The sequence below is a fragment of the Homo sapiens genome, chromosome 12 (assembly GCF_000001405.40).
Source record: "Homo sapiens chromosome 12, GRCh38.p14 Primary Assembly".
Classification (NCBI taxonomy): domain Eukaryota; kingdom Metazoa; phylum Chordata; class Mammalia; order Primates; family Hominidae; genus Homo; species Homo sapiens.
The window spans coordinates 103,076,998-103,089,247 of record NC_000012.12 but is presented as its reverse complement, the minus strand read 5'-3'; the positions used below and the strand labels follow the sequence as shown (position 1 = coordinate 103,089,247).

Genomic DNA, 12,250 nt, shown 5'->3' with positions numbered 1-12,250 from the left:
ACTCAGGGTCTCTCATGAGGTTTTTGTCAAGATGATAACCATGGCTGCAGTCATCTGAGGTTTGTTTAGGGCCAAAAGATCTGTCTTGAAGATTGCACACTCAAGGGGTTGCCGAGTTGATTCTTTTTTTTTTTTTTTTTTTTTTTGAGATGGAGTCTCGCTCTGTCGTCCAGGCTGGAGTGCAGTGGCGCGATCTCAGCTCACTGCAAGCTCCGCCTCCCGGGTTCACGCCTTTCTCCTGCCTCAGCCTCCCGAGTAGCTGGGACTACAGGCGCCACCACCACGCCCGGCTGATTTTTTGTATTTTTAGTAGAGACGGGGTTTCACTGTGTTAGCCAGGATGGTCTCGATCTCCTGACCTCGTGATCTGGCCTCCTCGGCCTCCCAAAGTGCTGGGATTACTGGCGTGAGCCACCGCACCCAGCTGAGTTGATTCTTGAGACTCTCACTGCACGGATCTCTCCAGAAAGCTGTTTACATGTCCTCACAGCATGGTGACTGCTTCCCCCAGAGCAAGTGACTTAAGTAATGGAAGCTACATTTTATGACCTAGCCTTAGAGGTCACACTTTATCATTGCTTTAATATCTTACTAAATGCATAGGTCAGCTCCATTGCATATAGGAGGAGACTCCGCAGGGACATGAATCCCAGGAGGAGAAAACCCACTGGAAGCTGGCTACCCCAAATTCCATGGCAGAGCACTTTTCTCTACCACTGATTTTGGTGGGAAGAGGAAAGAGGTGACTTCAACTCAATTAACATAGTAAAACCAACTGGTTAATTCTCCACATATCAGTCTATGCAAAAGCAAAGATCTCAGAGACAAAAATTGCCAACTGTCCCATAAGTGTCTTCTAATAAATGTTTAACTCCAGGCTGGGGAATATAGAAGTCCCCTATTTCTTATTTAGTCATCTATTCCTCCTTTCAACAAAAATTCACTGAGGGCTGCTACCTGCCAGGCACTGTGGTAGATGTTGGGAAACAACAATAACAAAATATCTAGAATGAACCTTCTAGAATTCAGCCATCTTCACAGAAGTGTACATCTGAAGCAGTGTTTCCTCATGGAAAATTCTCCTAACATTCTAGGATTGTGGCTTCTTATTTTTATCTTTAGGAAAAATTTGATCTGTTTGTAAGTTCTATCCCAGTTGCTTTGCTCCCTGGGAATCAAAATCTAATAGCCCTAGAAAAATGTTAAACAAATAAGATATATCACCTAATCAGTGCAGGCCAGAATGCTCTGGCAAAGGCCAACTGGTCAAGGATATAACTGCAAAACGTATATTTAGTACTGCAGTATTTACTACTGTCACAACAGAGATAATAATGGGTTCTAGTTTATAATATCAAACTCATAACATTACCTACAGTGTTTACATGTAAATTTGAGACTATCCATTAAACATTTTAATCATGTCCTGTTGAATAAAATGGTGCACTAATATTAGAGACAACTGAAACAGTCACACCTAGCCTAATAAACTTTCCCTCTAAACTGTTGAACCTCATGTTACTCATTTTAAAAAATGGTCATAAAAATAAGTCTTTACTTTATAGAATTATATGAGAATTGAAAGATTTTAATTTCGTATAGCACTTAGCACAATGCCACCTGGCCCATATAAGTGCTCAGTAAGTGTTATTATAAATCAGTATATTATTGTAAACCACTCTCAGATAACTGGCCTTACTTTGATATTTCTCAGTTATTATCACTCTTTTAGAGAACTGCAATGATTAAGTATTCAAATTTCAAACCTTGAACTTGCCCCTCAAAACAGTGACATCCCCCAGGTTTAACGGGCTCTGCTAGGATCCAAAGTGGATGTCTCTTCTGCTCCATGTTTCTCACTAGTGTTCTATGAGTCAGGATGGTTATATGACTCAGAGTAGCTGGTGTTTTTAGCAAATTATAGCATCTCTGCACCAAAGCAAACCATGAACCACTTTAGACTGTGACAGATTTTTGCATCTGTAAAATGGAATGAACATGCTTAAATTTTACAGTCATTTAATATGTGACAGTCAGGATCTTAGGAAACAGAAATGGATGATCAGTTCAATAGAAACCCAAACTCCAGCATTACATATCATATCCATGTGATAAACCTGCACGTGTACCTACTGAATCTAAAAAAACAAACAAACAAACAAACAAAAAACTAGAGAAAAAAAGAAAGCAGAAATATAGGTTTTGATTAATTACTAAATGGAATACTAAGTGAAATTAACTTATGGCATTTCCTTTTGATAATACCCTTGGGTTTTTCACTTGTTGAGTTTCTGCTTGCTTTGTGCTGTAACAGAGGAAAGCAACATAGTTTGCCAACTTCCAAACTTGTACTGATTTTGTGTGACCTTGAACCTAACTTAAGCCTTCCCTGCTTCCAATTCTGCTGAACATGAAGAAAACGTGATTTCTTGGAGCAAAATAAAAGGCTTAGAAAGAAGACTGAGAAGGCTTCCTAGATATCAAATAGCTCTTACAAAACACCGTTTTGATGAAGCAGTGTAAGCGAATCAGAAACATATGTATTAAATTTCCCTTGAGTTATTGGGGTTTCAAAATGAAGGGATTAAGAAAGCGGCAGGAGCTGCCCTTTAGTTGCACGGCACCCTCTGAAACCTCCAAAACATGTTTTCAGGGAGAGATTTAGTCAATCCCTCAAAACTTCAAGATATTTTCTACCCAACCAGGACACATCCAGAACTTATAAGATTATCTCGTATTGCCTGGTCTCCAGCTCCTTTCTAGATCAAAGAAGTAGAGTTAAGTACTCAGATTCTGGGAAGCTTATCTGTACTAAAGGAATGATTCTTTCCTTTGGTTTGCTATGAATTAGAAATAGTTCTCTCTTTTTTTTTCATCTTAAACCAGAACAAAATATTAAATACATTTTAATGACCTCTACTTCTGAAAATATTGCTCTCAAAAAAATGTGTTAAATTAGGAAGTGTTAGCAGCTCATCTTTCATCCAGATTAATTAAGTAAAGTAACTCTTTGGTGCCTAACACCTTAATTCTCTGATTGTTTTGTTATTGAAGGTATCAACAGTTGTCTCAAATGGATGTTGGGGAATGCTTAAAAACGCTCCAATTATATTATGAAACTACATTCTAAAAAGCAAATAGATTGTTTATATTATCATTAAAAAGGAGTGAATGTGGGAGAAGGAGTGAGGTGTCCAAAAATCTAACAAAAAAAGTTCTGCTCTGAGGTATTGGAGCTCCGTGTGCTGAACAAATTCAGATTAAATTGAAATCCAGCAAGGTTTGGAGACCATTCTGTATGGAGCTTGGCGAAATTGGCAAGTCAGCTATTAAAAATAGGACTGAAGTGTTTTATCTGTGTTGTCCTTTGTAATTAGGCTGCTGAATAACAGAAGTATTATCACACCAGGGTTAGTGCCAGAGGATTACCCAAAGTTTTACAAATGGGATGCTAAAGTGGCCTGAACAGGTGCACACACAAAGACCAAGGGAGGGGGAAAGTAAGAGAATGAAAGCTGAGGCCTACTACTTTCAGCCACATAGTAAAATTAATGGTTTCTGTAAATGAATGGCACGGTTAGATTACCATTGAACTTGTAAAATTAGAGGAAGGAGTCAGATTCTTCATTACACTCCTTTTTCTCTTTTTTAATTTGAGCGGAGGAGGTCGACCTTAATTGTCGTTTTACCTAAAAAAAAAAAAAAATCTTTTCATTCGAATAATTTTGCAGCAGGCACAGTGACTCCTCAAAAGAATTGTGCATTCTGAAATCTTTCTTTTCTCCTAGTCTACTCATATGACCCGCGTGCTGGAGAGAAAAGTGAGTTAGATTTGAATGAGCTCATATTTGGGAAATTGGTGAATTTAAAAAGAAGTGGGAGAGGACAGCTACTACCCTTAAAAGCAACAGTGAAAAATGAAAGACAGATAGGCTTCATGTAGGCAAATTAAGGATTAATATTAAAAGTAAACCTAAGAGACTCTCTTAGAATTAGAAGCAAATGTGTAGGAACTCGTGGGTTCTAAACATTCTCAGTTGGACTCAATTAATTTGCCAAAAATGTATCTATTTTCCAATGTAATGGTACTTCTAGTCATTTAAAACAGTTGCTTTTTCATTATAATTTCCTTGTAAAATTAAGCACTAGATTATTTATCTTTGGAAATTTAAATGTTCTGAGGCTGCTCTACAAAGATCATTCATTTCCCTCTCCACCAACTCTTCAACATTGTCTTACCCAGTTCTCCTGGAGATGAGTAGCATTTGTTTATTATTTGGCCCTCTTGGTAAACCTGTAGGCTTGACTTTGTTTGAATAGTTTTAGATTTCAAAAACTTGTAAGTACTACCAAGTTTCCAGGCCTTCCCAGGGCACCACATATATGTCTTTATTTTAGCCAATAGAATATATATATAAAATATAAAACTTAGCCCCTAGTAAATGACAGTATCTCAATGCATACTTGGTTGTTGTTGTTGTTACTGTCATTGTACCAAAACATCTTCAAACATATACCAATTGGCTTCCAAAAGAAACAAGCTAGTGCTTTAACCACAGAATGCAGTGTATAGGTTAATAACCAAGTCATTGACACCTCATTTTAAAAACTAGGTATACATTCTGAATTTCATCATGCACTAATCAAATGATCTTGCCTGCCATGTGGAGATTATTATTTATATAGCTATTTGAGAAATATCTCAAAACATTTATATATATCTACAACTGAATCTTAAAAGTTTATTTGCACAGAGATTTGGGTGCAGCAAACCACCATGGCATGTGTATACCTATCTAACAAACCTGCACATTCTGTACATGTACCCCAGAACTTAAAGTATAATTTAAAAAAAAGTAGTGTATAACATCTAATAAATTTTGCCAGCAGTCCCCAGCTGAAAACATGCAGTGGGGACATTGTTTTAAAGCAGCAATTCTTGTTCTAAAGGAGGGAAAACCATTTTGTCATAAAAATTGTTTTCTGCTAGAATATTGGCATGTGACTTAAATCTTGACAAGAAAGAGCAAGTCTGTTACAGAGGCAATTGAACAGATAGGAGCAATTAGCAGAATGAAAAATGCACAAGAAATAGTCAACAAGGCCATGTCCCTTTTATATCACAGAAATACTACATAAATATTTAGGTGCCAATTCTCATAAAATTTTAATTATGTTAAGGAAGTGCATCTTAAAAATGTATGTTTTAAAGACAAAAAAAGAATTGAAAACTGCAGTTATCATTTACTAAATACTTACTATACCAAGCAGTCTGCTAATCACATTATGTACAACACTATATGAATTTTCCAACAGGCTGTTGATGGAGATACAGTTTTTTCATTTTCTGTAGTTGAGGAGTCTGGAGGTTAGAGAGGTTAAGAACTTTCCCAGAAGACACACCAAGTGGCAAAATCACAAGACTCATTAAGAATTGTCAGGCAAATAAAAATTTTGCATACTTCATTGTTTATATTCTATTTCAGTACAATATATTTACTGACCAAATCAAAAGACTCTGTTCACATGTTTGCTGAAAGCCACAGAAGACCTGATTTTGGTAGGTAGAAGTTTCAACTCAGTTTTTTATATGAAACTACCAACTACAATTTTGTCCATCTAAAGAGCGATATGCTTTAAAGTCCATCATTGAGATGAAAAGCAAAAGCTTTTTAAAAAAACTGATAGCAATAGCTTGAGAATTTAGGTAGTGTTTTCACTATACTTCTAGTACAGAGATGAACTAGTTTGGCCTTGCCTCACACATTTTTTGGGGAATGAATTTCTAGTTTGTATGGTTAATGATCAAAACAGAAACTACCTTGAAAAATAATTCTGGGCATCAAACTGTGTGCTTAGACTTTGTATTTTTTGTTTTTGTTTTGAGACAGAGTCTTACTCTGTCGCCCAGGCTGGAGTGCAATGGCGCGATCTCAGCTCACTGCAACCTCTGCCTCCCGGGTTCAAGCTATTCTCATGTCTCAGCTTCCCAAGTAGCTGGGATTACAGGCACCCACCATCATGTCTGGCTAATTTTTGTATTTTTGTAGAGACGGGGTTTCGCCATGTTGGTCAGGTTGGCCTCAAACTCCTGACCACAGATGATCCACCCGCCTCGGCCTCCCAAAGTGTTGGAATTACAGGCGTCAGCCACCGTGCCCAGTCATATATTTTTTACTTTAAGGTCTGCACTTGCCTATAGTCTACCCGAGGCTTCACTTCACATCTCCTTTCTTGGTTGGCATGCCTCCTGAAACTTGCTATAAAGCTCTTCCTGAAACTCCCACTAAAGATGTATGCCACTGCCTTCACAGAAACCTGCTTAGCCACCTATGTATGCTATGCTAGCTAGCTGTGTGTCTAATTCAGAGTAAGAGCTGATAAACTAGCTTGTTTGTACTATGTTACCAAATACTGCCAAAATTCACCTACCTATTTACTTCTTGAATAAAATAGCGCAGTAACAGCTTCTTTGATCATTTTCTAATATTGTTGCTGGCTTTGTACATATAAGGTATTTTAAATGGAAGGTAATAACTAGTCTTTTTTTATTATTATACTTTAAGTTCTAGGGTACATGGGCACAACGTGCAGGTTTGTTACGTATGTATACATGTGCCATGTTGGTGTGCTGCACCCATTAACTTGTCATTTACATTAGAACTAGTCTTTTTTAAATGACAGGTATGGCTTTAAGAATCAGAGGTCAAAGTAGATGTTCAACAGATATTTATTGAATAAATCAAGGAGCATATGAATCAATTAAAATGATAGAAGAAACTACTAAACAGAGATTGGTTGTCAATGAAGTTAGCACAAAGTAAGGAAATGGGGGAAAAACACTGGAGACAAGACTTTTAGGATTTGGTTAGGCCATAATTATTGTAGCGTAATCATACATTCCAGTTTTCCCAGAACTGTCCTGGTTTGTCTGGTTTATACTTGCTACTCTGGTATAATTAACAATTTCATCCTCTTTTACTCTCAGAATTGCCCTGATTGAGATGATAAATTATATGGTCACTTGACACATTAGCATGTGCCATTGAACAAATCCTTTAAACACTTCCAGTTGGTTTTTCTCACCAGAAAATAAAATGATTAACCCAAATGGACTCTATCTCTCCTTAAGCTTTGTTATGAACTGTTCCCTGTTTTAAGTGTCTTTACACACTAATTCCCCATCTTCCTGGCAACCTGTTCTCACTTTCCACTGGAAGAAGAAAATTAGTGACAACATTAAAAGAGCTTTTTGTAGAAACAAACTGAATTTTGGGAGAGAGGAGAGACAATACATTTGTGTTTAGTAATAAGAGTGAGAAAGATTCATATTTGAACCACAATGCAAAACATATCCACGTTATAAAATTATAAGCCAAAGATAAAAATGTTATAACTATGCAGCAATATTCACTGTAAACAAAATAATCTTTATCAAATTAATTTAGTAATAAAGAAAATTATTTAATAATTTTACAAATGTCTGATTCACTTACTACACAGGATCAACAAACAGAATGGAACTAAACCACTCAAAAGCAACATTGAAAGCTAAGAGGATGGAATAATGCCTTCGGAATAGAGAGAAAAAATTATTTCCAATCTAAAATTCTATACCCAGACAAACTATCTTCTAAGTACTTGTGTAGAATAAAACACTTTCAGAAATGAAACATTTTAATAAATTACCTTTCATGCATTCTTTTTCAGGAAACTACAAGAAGATGCATCTGTCTTAACAAAAAATAATAAACCAAGAAAATAAAAGATATGGGATCCTAGAAATAAAAGGTGCAACACAAGAGAGAGATAAAGAAAAACATTGACAGCCTCTCTATGAAGAAAGACCCAAAGTAACAACTTTGCAACAGCTCTAGGGAATAATTTGTTCAGATAAGAGTAACTCAGGAGACTCCAAGAGCGATTTTCGAGAAGATTAAATCTATAGAATACCTAATATGTTTGCACTTGTAAAGAAGAGTTTTATACTACTTGGAGAGAATTTAGCAGTTCATCTATCAGTATCATTTGCATAGATATAATGTTCGCTAAATATTTCTATAGCCTAAGGAAGATGGTGAATGAGAAGTGTGCTTATGTGTGGCAAGGAAGAAGGGGATTTACCAAGTGGGAAGTCCATGGTCAAATGCTTAAGACTTAGTAAGGCATTTACCAAGTGGGAAGTCAATGGGCAAATGCTTAAGACGTAGTAATCAGAATGCAAATACATAAGTACATGTAGAGGCAAAACATAGCATTGTAGTTATGTGCGCAGATGCTGGAGTGAGACTCTCTGGGTTCAAATCCCAGCCCTACCAATTACTAGTCATGTGACTTTGGGCAAATTGTTGACCTATTTGAAACTCAGTTTTCTCGTATGAAAACTGTGATTATAATTACTCATCTCATAAGATTTTTATATGAACTAACTTTCTAAAATACTTAGAATAGTACTTGTCACAAAGCCAGCAGTATAAAAGTGTTGACCATTAAAATAATGTCATTAGAAACATGGAGATAAATATTAAAAGAATAAGCTAAAACAGAAATTGGTTGTGACAGGAGGAGAATGATGCACTGGGAATATTATTGCTTTTCATAACTTGGAGAAATTTGATTTTTTAAAGTTTGTGTTCACATATAATTAAAAAAATAGAAAACTAAATTTTAAGTGACAAGAATTATATTCTTCCATTTAGTCAGGTGCTGGATAAAGTAGCTTTTTTTTAGGTGTCTGCAAATATTATGACAATTAGGACAAGAAAAGTGCATGCTATTTTCAACCAGTTTGTATTAATGATGATCCTTAGATGTAAGCAACAGAAGTTGATGAAGCTGATTTAAATACAATGGTTTAGTTGAAAAGATGTTGGGGAGATCACAGAATGAATTGCAATGCTGGAGAACCAGTTATGAAAACATACAAGCATGAAGGGAGGCTGCATAGCCATAACTATGTCCTGAATCACACCAAATACCATCAGGTGAGGATTTCACATCTATCGCCATTGGACTCGCCATACCGTAATTTATACATTTACTGACCTGGCCGCCCCAACTCTTCCTGGAAATCAGATGCTGCTGCCACCACAGCCATATCAGAAAGAAGCCTCCTCTCGTGTTGTTTTATGTCACTAGTCCCACTTCAAGTCATAGCCAAGTGCATAAATTGATCAGGGAGGCTGGGAAGACAAACTACTTGGTGTATATATAATGTCTGTGGTAGGAGGCCAACTCTACCGCCGTCCCAGAGCCATAAGATAGGTAATTTTCCAATTACAGACTAGATGGAATAGACTATATTCTTATATTAATTGCTTCTTCATAGAAGTACATTTATTTACCATCATTGATTCAAGTTAGCAATATGACTAACTTTGGCCAATTAAATATAAGTAACAGTCATTCTTCACTTCAGGACAGAAATACTAAGAACCAGGATATGGTTCTCCCAATCTACTATTCCCTGCCAGGCAAATCTGAAGGCATGTTGAAAGGATGCTTCTGTCAGCCTGAGTCCCTAAATGACTATGATAAGCAAAGCTTCCTTGCCAACTTGTGATGGACATGTATTATGAGCAAGAAATAAATGTGATTGTTTAAAGCCACAGAAATGTGCATGTTGTTTGTTACTGCAGTTTAACATACCTATCCTAACTGACAAAGATGACTCAGCCACTGGACAGTGAAAAACATGACAAATGCATACCACAGCACATTTTGTCTGTGTATCACATGTCTTGAAACTTGTCCAGCCATACACAAACCTTCTAATTATCATCTATTAACTGTAGGTTTAGCTTCTCTTACATTATTCTAGAAAACTATCATCAGTTGTTCCTTGTTTGCTTTTGACCTATACACTTTCAGAACCTATTTCTGTCTAGTTACTATACCTTATCTCTGTTTCCCACTCCTATACTATTGAACTCAGCCCTGATAGCTTATTTCACCAAAGCTTGACTCTGTTCAGAGTCAAGACCAAGTATGAGTGCCTTGGGATTTTACCATACTGTTTTGTCCATTTGGTATTACCTGGATTGGAATACTCAAACCCCATTGGCTCCTTAATCTATAAAATTACATGATGTAATTTTTAAACTTTTTGATATCAAAAGTTTTTGGTCATCTCTGGCTGTCATGGAAGATGTTTAAGAGCTTGGGTATCTGATGGACATTTTATAAAGAGTAAATAATACATAGCAATGTGGTGTCTTCACAGATATCTTCAACCCATCTGGGAGCAACATGAGAAAGCACACTGGAGCTGGCCTCAGTGTTCAAACCAGATATACATTCCTATAGCTGAATAATTTGAAGTGCACCGGTGTGGTTTAGTGTGCAGTATAAGACGTCAAATAAAGCATAGTATAGGATGTCGGTGTCCCTTTGGACAAAGCAATGTCTGAATTTTCTGCAGAGACAAAATTACATTCATAAGAATGGAAAACACCCACTGCCAAAAACTAGTCCTTTCTTGTCTTTTGACCAAGTCTTTTCAAATATTTCAAGATTAAAATAGACCGTGCAAACAATACCAATAATCAAATTTTCTTCTGTAATACATGTCACTCTCTAGATATAAGTTAACCTCCTAAGGGAAATTCATTCAAGGTTTCACCTTAATGGATTACCATAGATCCACTATATGAAGCATAGTCCATTCAGCCATCATACAGTTGACTATTATGTTTGACAATTAAATCAGAATCCAAGGAGAACTCTCAAGAGATAAAGATAAGTTGATGTGGTGGTCCTTTAGGTGGTAGCTCTAGGGTTTATAGAATATAGTAGCAATGACATCATATCCCCCTTGTGTACTTCTAAAATTCTGGAATTATATGTTTGCAATGATAAAAGGAAGATAAAATGCAAAACACAGACAAACAACAGCAAAGAAAAAAACCATAAACTTTGATGCTTTGAATCCCACTTGCTGGGTGACTTTAGGTAAATTCTTAAATTATTTAAGCCTCTATTTTCTCAATCTTGAAAATGGGCAGTAACCTATCAATTATTAAGATGGTGAGGATTAAGTTAGTCAACATATGCAAAGTTCCTAAAACAAAACCTTGTACATAAAAGGCAATTAATACCTGTTAGTTTCTTCTCCCTTTATTTTACAAATGATTAAATGAAGATCCATATAATGTCAGATAATTGGGTAAAGTCAATCATCTAGGGAGTGACAGAGCTAAAGCAGATTTTTTTTGGCCTTAATCCAGTGCTGCTTTAATATTGAGCAAATGATTGTCCTAAACTCTTTCTTGTCCTTTTAGCTTTGTCGAATTAAATTTTAATTTGCTGCCCTACAAGATGAACATGAGACTGATTTAAGTTGTGACTGCTGAAGAATGAATGTCACCAATGAGGGCAACTATTGTGGACTCTAAATTCAGAATTTAGATTCCTAACACTGACTTTGGGGATTATGGTGCTAATGACCCAGATGGAACCCTTCCATAACGCCAGTGACACACCACAGAGCAACGTCCTCACCTTCATCAAATGTTATTGAGTCCTGAGTGTGAACAGTTTTTCTTTCATATCTTAAAGTGACTGCCTGGCACCAGATCTCTCCAGGAATTCTATTAGCTTCCTGTAGGCCTTGTCTCCAAGAGGCTCAAGCTGAGAATGCCAAATTCTCTTCACCTTTATCACTGCCTGCTCTGTGTCCAGCTTGGATTGCTCCAGCACAGGGTCTGGGGGTCAGCTGCCTGGTTCAAGCTCAGTTTCACTATTTACTTGTTAGGTGATTTTGGGCAAGTTATTTAACTTCTCTGTGCTTTGGTTTCCCCATCTATAAGCTTAGTCTCTATGCATAAAGTCTTTAGAAGAATGCCTGGCATACATTAAGTTCAATGTGTTTTTGCTTACTACTATTATTAGGCTCCCTCCAAAGTGTAGGTCTATCCTGATTTTATAATCTCCAATTTTTAAATATTTGCACTTTTCTGTTGGCTGGCATTTTATATTGCTTAATGGATGTTTTCTACATGAGGTAATCCAACTAGCAATTTAAATTCAATGCTTCCAGATTTGTAAAACATGTTAATTATATCTTCAATTATCTTTAGAAGGAAAGAGGACATGGGCAAACAGACAAATCCATTTCTTCATATTAACCTTAATAATTTGGTATTAAATTGAACATAGAGAAAATGGGTCTAGAACAAAGTCTCAAGATTTTATTGCACACAGTTTATATACAGGTACAATTTTATTTTTTCAATCTAGAAACTCAATTTTA

The 12,250-nt window shown here is 36.3% G+C and overlaps 1 protein-coding gene across 3 annotated transcripts in view, besides 1 other annotated feature; it reads left to right on the top strand.

The window, feature by feature from the left end:
• The window catches only part of C12orf42 (chromosome 12 open reading frame 42), a 516,167-nt gene that overhangs the window by 474,543 nt on the left and 29,374 nt on the right, over window positions 1-12,250 (top strand). For 2 of the 3 annotated variants that reach the window (NR_170336.1, NM_001386867.1), the window contains one exon: window positions 7,711-9,608. The exons of the other annotated variant lie outside the window; for it this stretch is intronic. The gene's annotated coding sequence lies outside the window, so the exon portion shown is untranslated. Of the gene's footprint in view, window positions 1-7,710; window positions 9,609-12,250 lie in introns of those variants that run through there. 3 annotated transcript variants of the gene reach the window in all.
• Window positions 3,535-3,614: a silencer, noted in NCBI's record as "silent region_4776". NCBI's record gives its function as "represses an Ori minimal core promoter by ATAC-STARR-seq in GM12878 lymphoblastoid cells {active_cell/tissue: GM12878}" and the evidence as "EXISTENCE:reporter gene assay evidence [ECO:0000049][PMID:35858748]".